The sequence below is a fragment of the Homo sapiens genome, chromosome 12 (genome assembly GCF_000001405.40).
Source record: "Homo sapiens chromosome 12, GRCh38.p14 Primary Assembly".
Taxonomy (NCBI): domain Eukaryota; kingdom Metazoa; phylum Chordata; class Mammalia; order Primates; family Hominidae; genus Homo; species Homo sapiens.
The window spans coordinates 32314947-32338397 of record NC_000012.12 but is presented as its reverse complement, the minus strand read 5'-3'; the positions used below and the strand labels follow the sequence as shown (position 1 = coordinate 32338397).

The 23451-nt window shown below is 40.0% G+C and overlaps 1 protein-coding gene across 28 annotated transcripts in view; it reads right to left on the bottom strand.

Annotated features, from left to right (window-relative positions):
- Window positions 1-23451, bottom strand: part of BICD1 (BICD cargo adaptor 1) — a 276787-nt gene that overhangs the window by 45236 nt on the left and 208100 nt on the right. For 14 of the 28 annotated variants that reach the window (NR_148725.2, NM_001413168.1, NM_001413163.1 and 11 more), the window contains 3 exons: window positions 9843-10937; window positions 3731-3882; window positions 692-899 (listed from right to left, as the gene is read on the bottom strand). Coding sequence is in view for 27 of the 28 variants with exons in the window: in NM_001413168.1 (NP_001400097.1) it covers window positions 692-899; window positions 3731-3882; window positions 9843-10937 (1455 nt within the window). In the remaining variant the exon portion in view is untranslated. Of the gene's footprint in view, window positions 1-581; window positions 900-3730; window positions 3883-5332; window positions 5945-9842; window positions 10938-23451 lie in introns of those variants that run through there. The other 14 variants (NM_001354186.2, XM_011520814.4, NM_001714.4 and 11 more) reach the window with 3 other exon arrangements.

The following is a 23451-nucleotide window of genomic DNA, read 5'->3' as shown; positions in this document are numbered from 1 at the left end:
TGCCAAATGAAAAAGCACAAAAACCTGCTTTCAAGAAAAGGACTGTGCGTATTCCATCCCATTTTATCTAGATATAGACATCCCCTTTCAGTCTGTCATCAGTTTTGGTCATATGGACAAAAGTTTCCCTAAGAGAACATATTCATATCCTTGCCCCGTTAAAGAGAAGCTGATAAACAGCACCATTTCCAAAGGTACAATGACTTTTAAAATTATAACCCAGGTAGAACACAGCTTCATTCTTAATATCCACCTTTATCTACCAATTCTCAGGTTGGAGGTAAGGGAGAGGCATATTTACACATACAAAGAGTAGCAAAAATATTAACAGACACTTGAAAATTATATTACGATTAATCAAGAGGAGGGATTGGGCAGGGGGTTAGAAAGGACTACATAAACACAATTATCAAAAAGGTTTTGATCTGGAAAGACCCACATTAGCAAGACCATTTATATGCCAGCTCCCATTTTTTCTTTTGCTTCCCCTCCTCCATCCTCCACAACAAGAGCACATTTATTTTTGCAGTTAACTAAAATCTGGCCACTGCACCGTACTATGAAGATCGCTGCATGCATACCTTTTCCTCTGAGTGCCACTGCTGACCCGAATGTTGGGTGTCTGTGGGCCCTGACTATGCAGGAGGTAAGTGTCTATGGTGGGCACGGTGACTGATGCCTCCCCACTTACTTTAGGGCTGCCGATCTTGCTCTTTCCAAGTTTGCCTTTGCTGCGTCGGGACTGCTCATGGTCAAACTCTAAGTCCTCCAGCCTCTGGGTCAGGGCGAGTTTTTGCTGGATAGCCATTCGTAACAAAGTGTTCAGAGTCTTCTTCTCATCCTCTGCAGCTGCTAACTGTCTCTGCATCTCATCCAACTGGGTGACATATTCATCACATCTGGAACCAAAACAGAGAAGTGGTCAGAGGAAAATCTTGGTGAAACTGAATTTGGGAGTTAAGCTGAAAAGTAATAAATTTGACCGAAATTTAGAAATTTAGAAGACTGGTTTAAAGGTCTAGCAATAGAATGTAGATAACCCACAATAGCAGAAAACTGGAATATATGTTCATCCATACAATGAGATATATGGGACATTTTTAAAAAATTTATTATTATTTTGTTGTTGTTGTTTTGTTTATTTGTTTTTTGAGACTGAGTCTCGCTGTATCGCCCAGGCTGGAGTGCAGTGGCGTGATCTTGGCTCACTGTAACCTCTGCCTCCCAGGTTCAAGCGATTCTCATGCCTCAGCCTGCCGAGTTGCTGGAATTACAGGAGTGTGCCACCATGCCAAGCTAATTTTTGTATTTTTTTTAGTAGAGACGGGGTTTCACCATGTTGGCCAGGCTGGTCTTGAACTCCAGACCTCAAGTGATCCTCCCACCTTGGCCTCTCAAAGTGCTGGGATTACTGGCATGAGCCACCACGCCCAGTCATTATTATTTTTTAAAGAGACAGGGTCTCACTGTGTTGCCCAGACTGGTCTCGAACTCCTGGCCTCAAGTGATCTTCTTGCCTCAGTCTCCCAAAGTGCTGCGATTACAGGTATCAGCCACTGCACCCAGCCCATATGGAGACAGTCTTAATAGGCAATGTCTTAAACCCCAGGGACAGAGTTATCGTGGGGCTGCTGTGTAACAGACGAATAACAGTCAAGTCTCACACAATGTCCACTATACCTGAAGTGTCTTACAGTAGCTCTTTTTACTGTATGACATTGTATTCTTTGGAGGAATGTAACAAGTTTATTATAGGCTATGCCTATAGTATCCAAAATAATAATGTTTATAAAGAAAACATTTCCTTATCTATATTTATACGTTTTAGTTTAGTATAGATTGCAGCTGTTGGTCTTGTCAATTTGACTGATTTGCCTGAATTAGAAAACTGAGTATTTTCAATGATTTCTCAACCAGATGACAGAGCAATGAGTTGTCAAAAAACAAAAAACAGAAAACCCTGCAAAAACCAAGATTTCACAAGGTTTCATACAGATACAGCAGGCTGTCCGAAACATCTTTATTCAGGTTTCATACTTGTGCCGAAGAAGAAAGATAAGCTTAGTGATCTTTTTTCCTTACCAAAGGCAAAACCTGGCACATATACATTTGGAAGGTAGAGGTGGCGTGGAGAAAAAGCTCATTCTGAATTTTGTTTTGTTTTTTTTCTGAGTTTATTTACCCGCTAAAATATGAATAACAAATACTGTTCATGCCAAAAAAAAGTCTGTGAAAATAGACAATTTGGGGATAACAATTCCTTTTTATAAAAAATTATTATTATTTTTGAGACGGAGTCTCGCTCTGTCACCCAGGCTGGAGTACAGTGGTGTGATCTCAGTTTCTGGGGGACTCCTATAAAGCTCAAGAGATCTTTTTTTGTTTGTTTTTAACACTTTTACATGTATCAGCCAAATGTAAATTATTTACTAAATCTGCAAGTAAAGCCATAGTAATTATTCGTGAATTTTGCACCAAGTTTGCATCATACAAGATACACAATTGGTAGGATTTGGTCGGGCATGGTGGCTCATACCCGTATCTCAGGACTTTTGGAGGCCGAGGTGGGCGGATCTCTTGAGCCCAGGAGTTTGAGACCAGCCTGGGCAACATGGCGAGACCCTGCCTCCACAAAAACCACAAAAATTAGCGGGTGTGGTAGTGCAAGCCTGCAGTCCTAGGTACTCGGGAGGCTGAGGTGACGTGGGAGGATTGCTTGAGTCCAGGATGTCCAGGCTGCAGTGAACCGAGATAGCGCCACTGCACTTCAGCCTGGGTGACAGAGTGAGACCCTATCTCAAAAAAAAAAAAAAAAAAGTAGGTCTTTTTTGACACTGCATTGTGACAGCAAAAAATGTATTTCAACAGTATATTGAAAATCTCAAGATTCTGAAAACTTCAAATCAAATACATTCTTAACAATCACTTCATGTTTAAACACAAAATACAGCCGGGCGCGGTGGCTCACGCCTGTAATCCCAGCACTTTGGGAGGCCGAGGCGGGCAGATCATGAGGTCAGGAAATCGAGACCATCCTGGCTAACAGGGTGAAACCCCGTCTCTGCTAAAAGTACAAAAAATTAGCCGGGCGTGGTGGCAGGTGCCTGTATTCCCAGCTACTCGGGAGGGTGAGGCAGGAGAATCGCTAGAACCCGGGAGGCGGAGGTTGCAGTGAGCTGAGATCGCACCACTGCCCTCTAGCCTGGGCAACAGAGTAAGACTCCGTCTCAAAAAAAAAAAAAATTATAAGTAATTAGCTGATGTGATGATTATTAATCTTCATTATGACAGTATCTTCTCGCACAGTACTAAAGGTAAGGCACTTTTATATACTTTCATGTACTTCCTTCACAGAACTCTATTTCAGAGGTGATAATATTTAGCTATTCTAGGAAGTGGGGTTTTTTTCCTTATTGAAAGCTTTTTATTTGGAGGGAGACTCTCTTTGGGGTGCATAAATTCTAGAAACAACCTATTAATATTAGCTTACTTAAAAAATATTTTTATGTAATAGAATTTCTGGATCCAGAGTGTTCAGTAGGGGGCTCTGGAAAACAGCACAGAAGGCTTGCTTTTAGATACGTCAGAGTGGACTTCCACAGATTTTCTTCACACTTAGCCATCCTAGACTACTCACCGAATACACTCAACATGCACAAAGGCAGGGCTGTGAATTTTAAAGCCTTTACCCCACCTACCACACCCAGTCATAGGAAGAAAATACTGTTACCTTGTTGCAAACATTGCTCTCAGGGATGAGAAGGTTGCAGCATCTTCTTTCAAAGCCTTCAGTTCATTTCTAAGCTTCGTCATGGTTTCAGTCACCATTGCTTTTTCATTTTCATATTTGTTCTTGAGATTAGCTAGCGCCACCTCAGCTGTCTAAAGCAGAAAATCACACTGCTTACAATTTTCATATCAGGAAAATCCATCATACAGATTGCTTCATGCTGTGCCTATTATGTTCTTTTATAAAAGGAAAGTGAAATTGATTTGGTTACATTTTATATAAACATAGGTATGCGCTTTGGACACAGGGAAGTTTTTCTTTAATGTCAAAATGTGTTGTGAATTCATAATGTGGTTAAATTGCCCTAGAAGCCCGCTGCGAGCCAGAGTCAGTATCAGGAGCTAAGAGAATGACAGTAGTTTAATAAATATTTAATGCAGATTGCTGAAAGTATGCGATTTTAGGACAAGGAGGGAGCCAAAATGAAACTTTATACAAAAAAAATTTTTTTACCAATTATTTAGTAAAGAAGCACAGCTTCAATAGGAATAATCAAATTGGAATATGTTAGAACTCAAATTTTGTCACCTGTGCTCTGTGGGCCCAAAACATAGAATAAAAGACATACACCATTGTAATTTATAATATGAGTATATGATAAACTATAAATCCATGTTATCATACATTTAAGGAAAAGAAGTGATAAAGAACTAATTACTTTCTAATTTGCATACAATTTGTCCAAACAATGAAATATAGTGAAATATAATTCCTTCAAAATCTCCATAAAAGTAGGGGTTATAAAATGTTGAATGAGTTAAAACATTTGTTTGAATCTGGGATTTGGGCATGTCCGAAGTTCTTGGAATTAATAGTGTTTCAAATCAAGAGCTACCCTGGCACACACACAAGTAAAAAAACACACTGACTGAATCAATGCATAAAATCAGTGTATACTTAGGGATTGCCTGTTTGATGCATAGCACACAGTTTGCATGTTGAAGCCAAACTGGGAACACATGATTTTTACAAACTGGAAACTATAACTTTTCAAAGTGTATACAAATACCCCATACTAATGAACAACCCCATTACTAGCAGAGAAATCCATTACTAACGGGATTTCCCAGGAAGACTACCTTGGTTTTTAACATTTCTTTTTGTTGCTTGAAATGGGCAGCTTCAAACCTTCATATGCAAAGTGCCAACATCTATAGAAATAAATTCTTTCTTAATTAAATCAATGTTGGGATAGGGTACTTTGTTACTGTTTTGATTCCGAAGTAGTTTCTTGTGAGTTTTGATTGGATTTAAATTCAGATTAAAATGAGACTTTACTCATAAAATACTTCTGTATGTTCTGTAAATACTTGGAGGAATCTTCAGAAATATTACAGATTCAGAAAATTATCCACAAGGCAGAAATTGACCTGGGGAAAAACGGCAGTTGTTTAGTGTTTAAAAAGCTTAGACACATATTCATTTAAAACAGAAAAGTATGTTTAAGTTGTGAAATGTAGATGTAACAAATTTGTAAGCACATAGAATCCCATGGTCAGTATCTAAGGGGAATAAAATGGGGGATAACAGAAGAGCTAGATCTGAAACAGAAATACAAAATCATTTATTGTTTGTGACAAATACCCCAAAGCCTCAGTTTTGTTTGTAGATTTGTTTGTCCATTGACTGTGCAAAGTTTTTCCAGAATTAAGTAATTTTAAGTATCCATAACTCACTGGATTTGCTGATTTCTGCTTTCACCACTTTCTCCACACATTCCAAAGTTGACTTTCTAAATAAAAAAAGTCTTATTTCCAGCCACATAGGCCTTTGTGAGCATTCCCTGAATATATTATTCTATTTTGTCACTCCAAAGCCTCTCTACCTACTGTTCTGTCTGGAATTACTTCCTCCTCCTCTGGAAAACAACTTCTTATCCTTTAATAACAAACTAAGGTATAATTGCTTCTGTGAAGTCTTTTCCGCTCCTCTAGGAAACCTTAGTTGCTTCCTCTGCATTGTTCTCATAACTTGGATTACAGCATGTGTAACGTTGAACTGTAATTGTGTTTCTATCCTGACATCCCCAGGAGGCTGAGTCTTCTGGAAGGCAGGGACCATGTGTTAGTCTTCTTTGAATCTTCAGCATCTAGCACAGTGCTAGATGGACGGTGCTTCATAAGCATTTACTGACTTCATCAGAAGGCACTGTGCCTATGAAAAAATCCTTAAGTAAATGAGAAGATTCATAGAGACTACAGAATGCCTATTTATTTATTTTTAACTTTTAAGTTCAGGGGTACAGCTGCAGGATGTGCAGGTTTGTTACATAGGTAAATGTGTGTCATGGGGGTTTGTTGTACCAATTATTTCTTCACCAGGTATGTAAGCCTAGTATCCATTTGTTATTTTTCCTGATCATCTCCTTCCTCTCATCCTTCAGCCTCCAACAGGAACCAGTGTGTGTTGTTCCCCTCTATGTGTCTATTTGCTCTCATCATTTAGCTCCCACTTATAAGTGAGAACATGCGGTATCTGGTTTTCTGTTCCTGTGTTAGTTTGCTAAGGATAATGGTCTCCAGCTCCAACCATGTCCCTGTAAATGACATGATCTCATTCTTTTCTTTCTTATGGCTGTATAGTAGAATGCCTATTTTAAAACAGGGAGATTTCCTTTTTTCCCCTGTACCCCAGAATTCTCACCTTAACCTTAAAAACAAACATTTCACAATGTCTAAATAAATATAGTGAATGTCATCTGTTAATACTTGAAGCTATTTACGGCAATAAGCATCACAGCAACAGCCCCAACATCATGAACGTGCAGACCAAATGCATTGCTAGAAATGTGTTTTCATTTAATTTACTGAGCCCATATAGACTGTAACTCTAATGTAATGCAAATGGTACAGGTTGAGCATCCTTAATCCAAAATCCAAAATGCTTCAAAATCTGAAACCTTTTGAGTGCTGACATGAGCCACAAAATTCTACACCTGACCTCATGTCATGAGTGGCAGTCAAAACTTTGTTTCAGCCACGGAATCATTAAAAAAATTGTATAAAATTACCTTCAGGCTATGTATATAGGAATACATGAAACATAAGTAAATTTCATGTTTGGACCTGGATCCCATCCCCAAGATAACTCATTATGTATATATGCAAATGTCCAAAATCCAAAATCTGAAACATTTCTTGTCCCCCAAAACATTTCGGAAAAGGGATACTCAACCTGTACCACAAAGCACAGTGAAAATAAAACTTCAGCTAGGAATGCTTTGTTCTGTTCTGATTTCCTGTGGTACTGTTTACATCACTCTAAAGTGCTTGATAAGTCCTGTCTTGTAAACAGCTACAGGCAATTGCGGAATTCCTACTAGATTATGTCATTTATTTTTGCATCCCTACTTACTGCCTCCCAGAAAATATGTAATCAATGAATGCTTGTTCACAAATTAGTCTCTGTTGGTTGGCCAAGTGTCCTTATCTATACCTCTGTTTCAGTTAAGCATCTTGATTTTTTTTTTTTTAAGACAGATTTTCGCTCTTGTTGCCCAGGCTGGAGTGCAATCATGCAATCTAGGCTCACCGCAACCTCCGCCCCCCGGGGTTCAAGTGATTCTCCTGCCTCAGCCTCCCGAGTAGCTGGGATTACAGGCACCCGCCACCACGCCTGGTTAATTTTGTATTTTTAGTAGGGACGGTGTTTCTCCATGTTGGTCAGGCTGGTCTCAAACTCCTGACCTCAAGTGATCCACTGGCCTTGGCCTCCCAAAGTGCTGGCATTACAGGCGTGAGCCATTGCGCCCAGACCTAAATTGTTAATATTCAACCTTTAGGAAGAAGTCAGAGAAGTTATCTGGATGGCTTGATCAAGAATGCCCCAGGATAGCATGTCCTTGTGTAAGCCTTATCTAATATGGTATTGGTTATTTATGACCACTCTGAATCATTGGGTCTTTAAATTATAGCAGAGTTACAATAATAAATTCCTTTATTCCGACCTAAAATTAGAGTCAGATCTCTCACAAATTCTTCATTCACTCTAATCTTTTCTTTTTTTATTTTATTTATTTTATATATATATATTTTAATTTACTTTAAGTTCTAGGGTACATGTGCACAACGTACAGGTTTGTTACATATGTATACATGTGCCATGTTGGTGTGCTGCACCCATTAACTCGTCATTTACATTAGGTAAATCTCCTAATGCTATCCCTCTCCCCTCCCCCCACCCCACAACAGGCCCCGGTGTGTGATGTTCCCCTTCCTGTGTCCATGTGTTCTCATTGTTCGATTCCCACCTATGAGCGAGAACTTGTGGTGTTCGGTTTTTTGTCCTTGCGATAGTTTGCTGAGAATGATGGTTTCATTCACTCTAATCTTTTCTATTTCTCTAAAGTGACAACATAAAATAAAGTCATATTTTGCCCTTAGGTTTATATAAAACATGTTAATAGTGCAAACAATATTATGGCTTATGGTATAGATGTCAATTATATAAATAGATTTATGGGAACTAGAGATGAGGACTTGAAAGCTGCACTGTAGATGAGATAATAAGGGCGTGGTTTTCCCCAGATGATGGCAAATGGAGAAGACACTCTGAATCTGAAATTAATCCTCATTCTCCAAAGACCAAGAGCTCCCTTGACCTACTATTCACTGGCACTGCTTGCGTTTGCAGGAGGGTATTTGGTGCTTTGTTGCTTCTCTTTATCAACACCAACATTTATTCAGCACCTTTCTCAAATATGTGTCTTTCAAGAATATCTTTTCAGATAAACTAAATAAAGGTGAAAATAATTTTCCTGCCTATATTTCGCAGCACTCCCACCAAGGTAAAACTCAGGGTGAAAACAATTTCAGTCATTAAGGAGGGCTGGGAATTAGACAGGTTCATGTTGTAACATTACTACTTGTCCAGAAGGACAAGATCAATAGCTAGGAAAAGCTCCCTATTACTTAACCTCTGACCCAGGTGGGTTAACATCCCAAATGAACCTAAATTTCAGATACGTGGTCAGTAGCACAGGTAGAGCTCATTCTTATACTCTCTCACACACACTCTCTATTATTTCCTTGCTAAAGTGGCCCCAAACTATTTAATTTGTTGGTAACAATCTGTCTGGCTTTGTTTCTGTTACTCACTCAGGTCCTCACAGTTGTCTTGCCTTTCATCCCTGACTTATTCATTTATTTAGCGCTCTTGTTTCTCTAAGTTTGGGATGAAGGACAAAACACTCCTTTTAATCTTGCTATACTTGGCTGGGCGCGGTGGTTCATGCCTGTAATCCCAGCACTTTGGGAGGCCGAGGTGGGCGGATCACTTGAGGTCAGGAGTTCGAGACCAGCCTAGACAATATGGTGAAATTCTGTCTCCACAAAAAGTTAGCCAGGCATGGTGGCACATGCCTGTAATCTCAGCTGCTTCGGAGGCTGAGGCATGAGAATCGCTTGAACCCAGGAGGCGGAGGTTGCAGTGAGCAGAGATGGCGCCAGTGCACTCCAGCCTGGACAACAGAGCGAGACTCTGTCTCAAAACAAAAATAAAAAATAATAATAATAATAATTTTGCTATACTCCTAGAAATTGAGTCTTGAATCTGAACCTCCAGCTCCAAAGCTGGGGTCCAGTTATTGGCCATCAGACCTTCTTCACCATATGTACCCAGATTTCCCTCTGTTTGCTCTAGCTGCCTGCTGGGTGTTTGTCTTTCTTGCTGTATCGCCCTGGTTGGTGTAACCTGCCTTGCCAGCCTATTCTGCCACCCTCCATCTCCTGTTTCCACAGCCACTCACTGCCAGGCTTCAGCCCAGCACCGCCTGAGCTGCCTTTCTACATCTGCAGAAAGGCATCTAGATCTTCTCCTGTGTTCCTGCTTTAAGTTCCTCACCTCTGCCTCCACCTAACTGGGCACAGGTATTTCATCATTTAAAAACAATAATTATTATGACATTCTGATCTGGCACTGGGACAGTTTTATTTATCCACTTACCAAGAATCTGAACTCTCATCTTGACGATACTCGATACTCAATAAAATTAGGGAATAAATTAGTTAAGAAAGCTTTGACTGGCATGCTTTCACCAGTAGAATGAGATTACCTGCTTGTTGGCTTTCAACACCGCCCTCAATGTGGCGATCTGCTCCCGTTTGGTGCTCAGCAGGGACTTTAGCTTGAGGATCTCTTCCATTAAGGCTTCCTTGTCTTTATCAATCATGGGGGCTAGCTCCCGAGCCGCTGCTCTTTGACGAGACAGTTGCAAGGACCGGTCCACAGCTTTCTGCAGATGCTTGATTTGGTCCCGGATTATGGCATTAAGGTTGTAGATATTCATTGGCTCTTTGCGGATGTCACTTGTATCCAATACTGGAGATGACGGTGGGGCAGTAATAACAGGAGAGATTGTGGGGGTCTTAGTTGGACTTGGTTCTTTGCTGGCCTCTGTGCTTTCTTTTGCAACTGGTTCAGATGAGGTCCTTGTTTCTACCGGGGATGACACACCCCGCCTGGCTAATCGTGGGGACAAAAGTCCTCTGGGATCATCGGGCCCTTTCAGGCTGCCACTGCGGGTGACTCTGCTCTGCCTATAGTAATCCAGCATGACCCTGTTGGGAGTTTCATTATTACATAGACACACATGGTGGTAAAGCTGAGCTAACTCCTCACTGAATGTCACTAACTCATCCTGGGCCGTATTAAGGGTACTGTGATTTTCGTTGGCTATGCTGGTCATCTTTTGCAACTCCTTCTCCATGTGGGCCATCTTCTCACCACTCTCCTTGGTGGTCTTCTCAAGGCTTGTCACCTGCTCATCATACATCTGGATTTTACTCTCATACTTGGCCTTCTCATCAGTGTAGTTTTCTACAGATTTATTATATTTCTCCTTTAAGGCCTTAATTTCAGCTTTCAGATCAATCACCTCAGTTACTGCCACCCTGTATTTGCATTCAAGGATCTCTAAACCATTGATGTCCACCTCATAGTCATGGGCCTCCTCCCCTGAGTCCCGGCCCTTCTCCCCGTCCAGCTCAGCCTTGAGCTCCTTGCTGCTTTGCAGGCCCCTCATGGCATTGACGTGCTCTGTGAGCCGGTGCACCCGCTCATGCTGCTCCGTCAGTGCCCCCTTGGTGTGTTCCAGCTGTGTCTGTGACTCCTGTAGGTTGGCCAAAAGAATGGCCTTTTCCCGCTCTACCTGCAATGGCAAAAGAAAGTTTCTGAATCACCTCAAGGCAGCACCAATGATGAACTTAATCCATTCACAGTCGGGCATGTATACACTTAAAATCACTGCAGCAGAGCCAATGTTCCCACTATTTCAAATTAAATTGGAGTGTTTTTTATTTCAGCAGTTCTGGTAAGTCAATCTAAAAGTACATAATTCTAAAAGAATTATACTGCAAGTAGTTACCCATCAATTTCGCTTGTATCATACACATATACTGACGAAACTTCAATGTTATTAGAACAATCTTATTTTGATTTTTAACACCTTGCAGAAAACAACATGACTTTAAGAGATAAGCATAGGACTGGTGTTATTTTTATTTTGAGTGCCTTAGAGTACATCTGCTTTTCAGATCATAAGTGACTGTATCAGGGTGCCTATGAATCAATCATCTTTTCCTTCCCAGAGCTCAACCCCAAATCAGGTTTAAAACCTAAGGCTTTAACTCCCTAAATAATGCTGAGTACTTTAACCATCCCCTTAAAAATAAGCATTTAGTCCCCAAAATAAACACGCACTACATTTGATAGTTTTTATCTTTTTTTAAGACAGGGTCTCGCTCTGTCACCCACACTGGAGTGCAGTGGCACAATCAGGGCTTACTGCAGGCTCTGCCTCTCAGGCTCAAGTGATCCTTCCACCTCAGTGTCCTGAGTAGCTGGGACTACAGGTATGCACCACCACACCTGGCTAATTTTGTGTGTGTGTAGAGACAGAGTCTTGCTATGTTGTCCAGGCTGGTGTTGAATGCCTAGGCGCATGTCAGCCCCCTGCCTCTGCCTCCCAAAGTACTAGGATTATAGGCAGGAGCCACCACGCCCAGCTTTGATGGTTTCTAATATAAAAGTCAAAGAATACATACAGAATTTTAGGGCTAAAAGAACAACTTATAAGTCAATTCAATTCCTTCAGTCCAAAATAGGAATTTTAAATATTAGTAATTAATTTGAATAATGTGATATGTAAGTATTACCGTGTGATGAAAAACACTCAGGTGTCCATATAAAATACTGTCTCATTAAACATAGGTATATAAGAAATTGCAATGTGGAAAAATTTTAAACCATTTTCTCTCCTTCCATATGGGTGAATATTATGAATTATGAGTTTTTACATTTATAATGTAAATGTTTCTCAATAACCAAATAATATTGTTTACATTATTGTTCTATAAGAAGTATCATGGTGTTCATATCCTTCTGCACTTGTGTTTTCTTTTCTTTCTTCTTCTTTTTAAAAAATAAACCATCATGAGATCTGCTTTAAGAGCAATGAATTGATGCTGAATGTCTTCATATCTAAAGGAAAGTATCTATTCAAACTTTCTTTTTTTTTTTTTTTTTTTTTGAGATGGAGTCTCACTCTCTCCCAGGCTGGAGTGCAGTGGCGCGATCTCGGCTCACTGCAAGCTCTGCCTCCCAGGTTCACGCCATTCTCCCACCTCAGCCTCCCCAGTAGCTGGGACTACAGGCGCCCACGACCACGCCCAGCTAATTTTTTTGTATTTTTAGTAGAGCTGGGGTTTCACCGTGTTAGCCAGGATAGTCTCGATCTCCTGACCTCGTGATCCGCCCACCTCGGCCTCCCAAAGATTACACTCCCAAAGATTATAGGCGTGAGCCACCGCGCCTGGCCCAATTCAAACTTTCAAACTTCCTGGATCATACATTAAATCCCTCTGAACTCTTCTAAATCCCTAGGTGGCAAGTAAAATTATTATAATTAGATATAATAAATATTAATCATTAAGTATGGTTAATATTTTAAAACTAGCTTATTACTTTAGGATACACATGTGTATATGTAAATGTATAATAGAGTAGAGTAGTATTTTTATGATCCTTTATGGAACCTAATGCCCCTCATTTAACTTTCATGGTAGTCCTCTCTTGGCGAGGTTCTGATATGGGTAAGTTTCAGTTACTATGCTTTAGTTAAAACACCAGCTACTCCTCAAACCATGGTCCAAATTTCAATGACCAAATATATTGATTGTGAGCAATGCATAACGCACAATCTTTGCTGCCAGCACTTCAGTCTATAAAATCACTACATAACATCATGACCAACGGCCAATGACACCACTTCATTCAAAGTCGGCCAGTGATTGGTTACTACGTATCTGTTATTCAGTTCACTCATAGACAGCTAAGGATGTAGTTGCCTTGTCTTGTCTCCTAGTGATAAATCCATGTGATGTTTTACAAAAATGAATTACAAGAAAGAAAGGACAGCAACAAAGAGTGACAATGTTGGAAATGAAATCTGAAAAAAAAAAAACATAAATGGAGCCAGGTGCAGTGGGGTGTGCCTGTAGTCCTAGCTACTCCAGGGGCTGAGGCAGAAGCATTGCTTGGGCCCAGGAGCTGAGGCAACATAGTGAAACCCTGCCTCTAAAAAAATCCCCAAAACTACCTAAATGGAGTTATAGAAGAAATAACTGAATATGGAAATGTTGACACTAATGCTGTTTGAGGGACTTTAGATGTTCACCCAAAGAAATTTAGTGGAGGCAAATTTTTCAATCTATTAAATGAAAAAGTACAGTATGGCCGGGTGTGGTGGCTCATGCCTGTAATCCCAGCACTTTGGGAGGCCGAGGTGGGTGGATCACGAGGTCAGGAGTTCAAGACCAGCCTGGCCAAGATGGTGAAACCCCGTCTCTACTAAAAATATTTTAAAAAATTAGCCGGGCAAGGTGGCACGCACCTGTAATCCCAGCTACTGGGGAGGCTGAGGCAGGAGAATTGCCTGAACCCGGGGGATGGAGGTTGCAACGAGCCGAGATTGTGCCACTGCACTCCAGCCTGGGCGACAGAGTGAGACTCCATCTTCATCTCAAAAGAAAAAGAAAAAGAAAAGTACAGTACAGTAGTTGCAAAAAGGATGAAAATGTCGAAGAGGAAGTGATGCTGGCACATTAAAGGTACTCACAAAGATATTTCCAGATGTTTAAAGTGCAGAGGATAAAATGTTGGAAGGTGATCCAAACTTAGAAATGAGGATGACAATTTGCCAAAGCATAGAAAAGATTCTTGCTCAGTGTCCTAAGTTTTTTTTTTTGTTTTTTTTTTGAGATGGAGTCTAGCTCTGTCACCAGGCTGAAGTGCAGTGGTGTGATTTACGCTCACTGCAACCTCCGCCTCCCGGGTTCAAGCGATTCTTCTGCCTCAGCCTCCTAAGCAGCTGGGACTACAGGCACACGCCACCACACCTGGCTAATTTTTGTATTTTTAGTAGAAATGGGGTTTCACCATGGGGTTTTTAGTAGAAATGGGGTTTCAGCCTGGCGGCTGGTCTCGAACTCCTGACCTCGTGATCTGCCCACCTCGGCCTCCCAAAGTGCTGGGATTACAGGCGTGAGCCACCGCGCCCGGCCCTAAGCTTTATGGGAAGGCAAGATCAAAATACTCTTGATAAGCTGTTTACAAAGAAATAAAAGGTTAACTCTCAATATTCCTAATGTTTTAAATTATGAAGTACTAAGTAGTTTTACTATATTTTCATTTCTATATATATTTATAACCAACAGTAAGAGACTTTTTAATGTTTCACAAAAATATTTAAAGATCACAAAACAATTGTAAATTTCCCCATTAATTATTAAGTTTGTTTTGCATGGTTTCAGTTTGCATGACCATTTTTTACTGTCCCAGACTACTATGCAAACCAAGGACTGCCTGTATAGTATGATCACATATATTAGAACCTAAGATACAGTTTTGTTATCTCAAGGTGTTATTTAGAGGCTTTTAAGTTGTAGCTCTGATTTTATGACATAGTGTTTGTCCATACCTATGAAAGGAAAGCAACCCACAAATTATATATTATGGCTGCAGAAACCAAATTATTCCCAAATGATAGTACTGCAGGTAAAGAACTGGGCCTGTGGCATCAGAGAACACTGGAGTCAAATCTCGGGACCAACATTTACTTAGCTATGTGACTCTGAGAAAGCTTCAGTTTGGTAACCTATGCAAGGAGCACAGTAACGCCTCATAGGGAATTTTGATGATGAAGTGAGTTAGTGAATTTAATACTGAAGGTTCTACAATGTTAGCTATTGTGAACAATTGGTTAGCTGTGGTCCACCTCCCACAACCAAAATGTTTTTACATGGCAAACACATCTGTTCTCACAATTTTGAAAATTTTATAAAAGCAACTCTTTCATTTTAGAGTCAGGAAATATTTGAATACAAATCTTAGCTGGATTTCATTAGTTATAACAGACTGTATCTCCAGAGGTGATGATGAATTTGCTTACCCAGACTATTTGGGCAATAGTTTTCAGTGAAAAACCTGGTAATTATGTAATATGGTATTTCATGAATAGCCATGTCATTTGAATTTTTCATAAAGGAGATGGAAAATCTCTATTCTATACAATCTCAGTGAAAACTGATTATGTCAGAAGTGTTTTTGTTTTCCTTTTTTCCTTTGAAAATTAAGCAAATTTGCACTGGAAAGTGTAAACGTTATTCAATTAGTACACATGATTACAGATAAGGCTGTTTCCAAAACGCCCTTCAAAAGGAAAGGCCTCTGGATCAAATAAATATTGGATCAAAACAAAATGTACTGAATGTGTCTGAAGCTTGTTTTAGCAGCAAAAGTGTTATGATGAATAAGGTCATGCCTTTAGAACAGCCTTCAATCTGGACTCTGACAGTTGAGATTTAATATAAACATTTTCTAAGCCTAAAAAGGTAAGTCTACAGTGTCTTCACGATAGCATCTCCAGAAAACATCAAATAGAACACTGTCTCTTGCATGTGTGTTTCCTCCCTACACAACAGGAGTCCCCAACTCCCAGGCCTCTGACCAGTACCAGTTTGTGGCCTATTAGGAACCAGGCCACACAGCAGGAGGTGAGTGGCAGGCGAGCAAACATTACCGCCTGAGCTCTGCCTCCTGTCAGATGAGTGGCAGCATCAGATTGCCATAGGAGTGCGAACCCTATTGTGAACTGCGCATGCGAGGGATCTAGGTTGCAAGCTCCTTATGAGATCTAATGGCCCCAGACCACCCGCACCCTATCTGTGGAAAAATTGTCTTCCATGAAACAGATCACTGGTCCAAAAAAAGTTGGGGACTGCTGCTATACAGTACTACTTTCTATATTTAATACGTTTCTGCTGAAATCAATTGAATAGGAAATTGTATCCAAATTACATATATATTACACACATATGTAAATATATATTATACACATATAAATATATCATATCTATCTATCTATATATATTTCTCCCAGATAATTAAGTTTGGCCTGACAAAAAAATTACTAAAATACAGGTAATTTTGTAAAACTCCAACACTGTATTTTCACTCAGCTATTAAGGCTTAGAGTACCTTAAATGGTATTTGGATTTCAAAGAGCAGATGCTTAAACTGTTTTATTTATTTATTTATTTATTTTATTTTTTTGAGACGGAGTCTCACTCTGTCGCCCAGGCTGGAGTGCAATGGTGTGATCTCGGCTCACTGCAACCTCCGCCTTCTAGGTTCAAGTGATTCTCCTGCCTCAGTCTCCCAAGTAGCTGGGATTACAGGCGTCTGCCACTGCGCCTGGCTAATTTTTGTATTTTTAGCAGAGACAGAGTTTCACCATGTTGGTCAGGCTGGTCTCGAACTCTTGACCTCAGGTGATCCACCCGCCTTGGCCTCCAAAAGTGCTGGGATTACAGGCGTGAGCCACCGGGCCTGGCCTAAATTGTTTTAGATTTAGTGCTCTGAATGAATAAAATGCAAAGCACTTTAAAGCTTAAAATTACTATACATTTGAAGTGTTACTATTTTAATTTCCATTTGTAAAGAATTTATCCAAGAGAGAGTTGAGGGGTTTATTATAATCTTCTGTAGTGACTGAGAATAGTTGTCTTATTTCTCTTCCTACAATCTTCATTTTCTGTCTGGAACTGGAGATTTTATTTTTTCACAGAAGAGCTGGTTGTTCTGCCAGAAAACCTGACTTCAGTATTTGTAAACTGTTTAGTGTAAGTATACAACATATGTTTACTATGATTATTGTTGTTCCTATATCCCATAGAAATTATTTTTTACTTCACTGAGTGTTTACCTTTTATTTTTTATTTATTTTGAGACAGAGTCTCACTCTGTCGCCCAGGCTGGAGTGCAGTGGTGTGATCTTGGATCACTGCAACCTCTGCCTCCGGGGTTCAAGCGATTCTCCTGCCTCAGCCTCCCGAGTAGTTGGGCTTACAGGGACGTGCCACCACGCCCGGCTAATTTTTGTATTTTTCACAGAGACGGGGTTTCACCATGTTGACCAGGCTCATCTCAAACCCCTGACCTCAGGTGATCTGCCCACCTTGGCCTCCCAAAGTGCTGGGATTACAGGCGTGAGCCACTGTACCTGGCCTAAATTGTTTTAGATTTAGTGCTCTGAATGAATAACATGCAAAGCACTTTAAAGCTTAAAATTACTATACATTTTAAGTGTTACTATTTTAATTTCCATTTGTAAAGAATTTATCCAACAGAGAGTTGAGGAGTTTATTATGATCTTCTGTAGTGACTGAGAATAGTTGTCTTATTTCTCTTCCTACAATCTTCAGTTTCTGTCTGGAACTGGAGATTTTATTTTTTCACAGCAGAGCTGGTTGTTTTGCCAGAAAACCTGACTTCAGTATTTGTGAACTGTTTAGTCTAGTGTAAGTATACAACATATGTTTACTATTGTCATTGTTGTTCCTATATCCCATAGAATTTTTTTTTATTTCACTGAGTGTTTACCTTTTATTTTTTATTTATTTACTTATTTTGAGACGGAGTCTCACTCTGTCGCCCAGACTGGAGTGCAGTGGCGTGATCTTGGATCACTGCAACCTCTGCCTCCCAGTTCAAGCAATTCTCCTGCCTCAGCCTCCCGAGTAGCTGGGATTACAGGCACGTGCCAACACACCTGGCTAATTTTTGTATTTTTAGTAGAGATGGGGTTTCACCATGTTGGCCAGGCTGGTCTTGAACTCCTGACCTCATGTGATCTGCCCGCCTCGGCCTCCCAAAGTGTTGGGATTACAGGTGTGAGCCACCGTGCCCAGCCTCAAAACCTTTTTATAAATAGAGATGGGGTCTCTCTATGCAGCCCAGACTGATCTTGAGTTCCTGGCCTCATGCAATCCTGCCAACTTGGCTTTCCCAAGTGCTGGGATTACAGGTGAGAGCCACCCTGCCCAGCCAAGTCTTTTGACTCTCAGTTTGACACTTAAATGATCATGTGATTCTTCTAACAGTATACATAGCATCGATATGCACAAACGGAACTCCTAAATAATTTGTTCTTCTCTGCTTGAAGAGAAACAACTCTGATAATGCATATCTGTGCCCCAACAAAAGATAATTCTATGAAAAAAGATCAAGATAGAACAAAGAAACTCTATATGAGGGAATTCATCAGTTGTTAAAAGTGTCTACTTTAGAGTGTGTGGTGAAAAGAAAATTCATGCACACTAACACACAAAAGTCAGTCAACTGGACGAAGACTAAAAAAGATGGAGGGAGAGGGGCCCTTCCCAACTCTTATGAGACCAGTATTACTCTGATACCAAAACTAGAGAAACAGCACTTTGGGAGACCAAGGCGGGAGGATCACTTGAGGTCAGGAGTTTGAGACCAGCCTGAACATGGTGAAACCCCATCTCTACTAAAAATACAAAAATTAGCCTGATGTGGTAGTGGGCACCTGTAATCCTAGCTACTTGGAAGGCTGAGGCAGGAGAATTGCTTGAACCTGGGAAGCAGAGGTTGCAGCGATCCAAGATCACGTCACTGCACTCCAGCCTGGGCAACAGACCAAGACTGTTTCAAAAAAGAAAAAAAAACGAAACTAAAAAACAAACGACCTCTCCCTCCCAGAGAAACATATTATAAGAAAAGAAAACTAAAGACCAAGACCTCTTATGAATATAGACACAAAATCCTCAACAAAATACTAGCAAACTGAATCCAGCAACATAACCAAATGCAATCATAGAAACACAATGTTGATTTAACATTCAAGAGTCAATAAATATAATATACCATACTAATAGAATACATGACAAAAACCACATGATCATCTCAATATATGAAGAAAAAGCATTTGACAAAATTTAATATCCATTTGTGATAATAAAAAAAAGTCAACAATCTAGTCATAGAAGAAAACTCCCTCACCCGGATAAAGGGCATCTATGAAACACCCAGAGCAAAACAAGGATGGCTGCTCTTGCCATTTTTATTCATCATTGTACTAGAGTTCTAGCCAGGGAACTTAGGTGAGAAAATCAAATAAAAGGTATTGAGATTGGAAAGAAAAAAGTAAAATGATCTTTATTTGCAGATGACGTGCTCTTGTAAATATTAATAGAAATTCTTAAGGAATTCACTAAGAAACAACTATTAGGACTAATAAGCAAGTATAGCAAGGTGGCAGGATACAAAATCAATATACGAACATCAGTTGTATTTCTATATACTAGCAGTGAAAAATGAAAAATAAAATTAATAAAACAATTGCTTTTATAGCACTATCAAAAAATAATATACTTCAGAATAAAATTTTTTTTTCAGATGGAGTTTCACTCTTGTTGCCCAGGCTGGAGTGCGATGGCACGATCTCAGCTCACTGCAACCTCCGCCTCCCAGGATCAAGCGATTCTCCTGCCTTAGCCTCCCAAGTAGCTGGGATTACAGGCATGCGCCACTACGCCTGGTTAATTTTGTATTTTTAGCAGAGATGGGGTTTCTCCATGTTGGTCAGGCTGGTCTCAAACTCCCGACCTCAGGTGATCCACCTGCCTAGGCCTCCCAAAGTGCTGGGATTACAGGTGTGAGCCACCGCACCCGGCAGGAATAAATTTAACAAAAGAAGTGCAAAATGCAACCATTCTTATACACCAATAACAGACAAACAGAGAGCCAAAGCATGAGTGAACTCCCATTCACAATTGCTTCAAAGAGAATAAAATACCTAGGAATCCAACTTACAAGGGATGTGAAGGACCTCTTCAAGGAGAACTACAAACCACTGCTCAATGAAATAAAAGAGGATACAAACAAATGGAAGAACATTCCATGCTCATGGGTAGGAAGAATCAATATCGTTAAAATGGCCATACTGCCCAAGGTAATTTATAGATTCAATGCCATCCCCATCAAGCTACCAATGACTTTCTTCACAGAATTGGAAAAAACTACTTTAAAGTTCATATGGAACCAAAAAAGAGCCTGCATCGCCAAGTCAATCCTAAGCCAAAAGAACAAAGCTGGAGGCATCAGGCTACCTGACTTCAAACTATACTACAAGGCTACAGTAACCAAAACAGCATGGTACTGGTACCAAAACAGAGATATAGACCAATGGAACAGAACAGAGCCCTCAGAAATAATGCTGCATATCTACAACTATCTGATCTTTGACAAACCTGAGAAAAACAAGCAATGGGGAAAGGATTCCCTATTTAATAAATGGTGCTGGGAAAACTGGCTAGCCATAAGTAGAAAGCTGAAACTGGATCCCTTCCTTACACCTTATACAAAAATTAATTCAAGATGGATTAAAGACTTAAATGTTAGACCTAAAACCATAAAAACCCTAGAAGAAAACCTAGGCAATACCATTCAGGACATAGGCACGGGCAAGGACTTCATGTCTAAAACACCAAAAGCAATGGCAACAAAAGCCAAAATTGACAAATGGGATCTAATTAAACTAAAGCGCTTCTGCACAGCAAAAGAAACTACTATCAGAGTGAACAGGCAACCTACAGAATGAGAGAAAATTTTTGCAACCTACTCATCTGACAAATCTGGATCTAATATCCAGGATCTACAATGAACTCATACAAATTTACAAGAAAAAAACAAACAACCCCATCAAAAAGTGGGTGCAGGATATGAACAGACACTTCTCAAAAGAAGACATTTATGCAGCCAAAAAACACATGAAAAAATGCTCATCATCACTGGCCGTCAGAGAAATGCAAATCAAAACCGCAATGAGATACCATCTCACACCAGTTAGAATGGCGATCATTAAAAAGTCAGGAAACAACAGGTGCTGGAGAGGATGTGGAGAAATAGGAACACTTTTACACTGTTGGTAGGACTGTAAACTAGTTCGACCATTGTGGAAGTCAGTGTGACGATTCCTCAGGGATCTAGAACTAGAAATACCATTTGACCCAGCCATCCCATTACTGGGTATATACCCAAAGGATTATAAATCATGCTGCTATAAAGACACATGCACACGTATGTTTATTGTGGCACTATTCACAACAGCAAAGACTTGGAACCAACCCAAATGTCCAACAATGATAGACTGGATTAAGAAAATGTGGCACATATACACCATGGAATACTATGCAGCCATAAAAAATGATGAGTTCATGTCCTTTGTAGGAACATGGATGAAACTGGAAACCATCATTCTCAGCAAACTACCGCAAGGACAAAAAAACCAAACACAGCATGTTCTCACTCATAGGTGGGAATTGAACAATGAGAACACATGGACACAGGAAGGGGAACATCACACACCGGGGACTGTTGTGGGGTGGGGAGAGTGGGGAGGGATAGCATTAGGAGATATACCTAATGCTAAATGACAAGTTAATGGGTGCAGCACACCAACATGGCACATGTATACATATGTAACAAACCTGCACGTTGTGCATATGTACCCTAAAACTTAAAGTATAATAATAAAATTTTAAAAAAAGAAAAAAAAAAGAAGTGCAAAATGTATACAGATGCTCCTCAACTTGTGATGGGGTTACATCTCAATAAAACCATTGTAAATTGAAAATATCCTAAGTATGGCCAGGCGCATTGGCTCATGCCTGTAATTCCAGCACTTTGGGAGGCTGAGGCGGGTGGATTGCCTGAGGTCAGGAGTTTGAGACCAGCCAGGCCGACATGGTGAAACTCCGTCTCTACTAAAAAATAAAAAATAAAAAAAAATTAGCTGGGCGTGGTGGCACGTGCCTGTATTCCCAGCTACTCAGGAGGCTGAGGCACAAGAATCGCTTGAACCCAGGAGGTGGAGGTTGCAGGGAGCCAAGATCATGCCACTGTACTCCAGCCTGAGCAACAGAGTGAGACTCCATCTCAAACAAAAAAGAAAAAAAAAAAGAAAATATCATGTCCAAAATGCATTTAATACACATAACCTACCAAACATTCTAGCTTAGTCTAGCCTACCTTAAAAGTGTCCAGAACACTTACGTTAGCCTACAGTTGGGCAAAAATCATCTAACTCAAAGCCTTTTTTTTTTTTTTTTTTGAGACAGGGTCTCACTCTGTTGCCCAGGCTGGAGTGCAGTGGCACAATCTCAGATCACTGCAACCTCTGGCTCCTGGGTTCAAGCAATTCTCCTGCCTCAGCCTCCCAAGTAGCTGGGATTACAGGCGCACACCACCACACTCGGCTAATTTTTGTATTTTTAGTAGAGACGGGGTTTCACCTTGTTGGTCAGGCTGGTCTCGAACTCCCGACCTCAGATGATCCACGCATCTCAGCCTCCCAAAGTGCTAGGATTACAAGCATGAGCCACCACGCCCAGCCCCACTCAAAGCCTATTTTATAATAAAATGTTTACTATCTCATGTAATTTATTGACTACTGTACTGAAAATGAAAAACAGAACAGTTGTATAGGTACTCAAAGTATGGTTTCCACTAAATGGTATTGCTTTAACACCATTGTTAAATAAAAAAGTCTAGACGAACATTCACAAGTCAAGGACCATCTGTACTCTGAAAATTATAAAGCATTGTTGAAAGAAATGAAAGAAGACCTAAATAAAGGGATAAACAGCCCCTGTTTCTGGGTCAAAAAACTGAATGTTAAGATGGCAATACTACCCAAATTTATTTACATATTCAATGCAAACTCCAACAGAATTTCAGCTGGATTCTTTGCAGAAATTGACAAGATGGTCATAAAATTTATATGGAAAGGCAAAGGACCTAGAATAGCCAAAACAGTCCTGAAGAAACTTCTTGAAAAAGAACTAGCAAACTTTCCTATTTCAAAAATTGCTACAAAAAAACTATAATCAAGATACTATAGTATTGGCATAAAAACAGACATATAAATTAATGGAATAGAATTGAAAGTCTAGAAATAAGCCCATATATACATCTATGACCAGTTGATTTTGGACAAGGGTACAAAGATAATTCAATAGGGGAAAGAAAGAATAGAATAGTCTTTTCAACAAATGGTGCTGGGACAACTGGATGCCCACGTGTAAAATAGTAATGTTGATCTCTTCCTCATATCATATTCAAAAATTAAGTCAAAATGGATCAAAGACCTAAATGTAAGAGATAAACTATAAAACTCTTAGAGGAAAACCTAGCCATGAATGTTCATGACCTTAGATTAGACAACAGTTTTGTATGACACCAAAAGCACAAACAACAAAAGAAAAAAATACACTAGACACATCAAGATTAAAAAGTTTTTT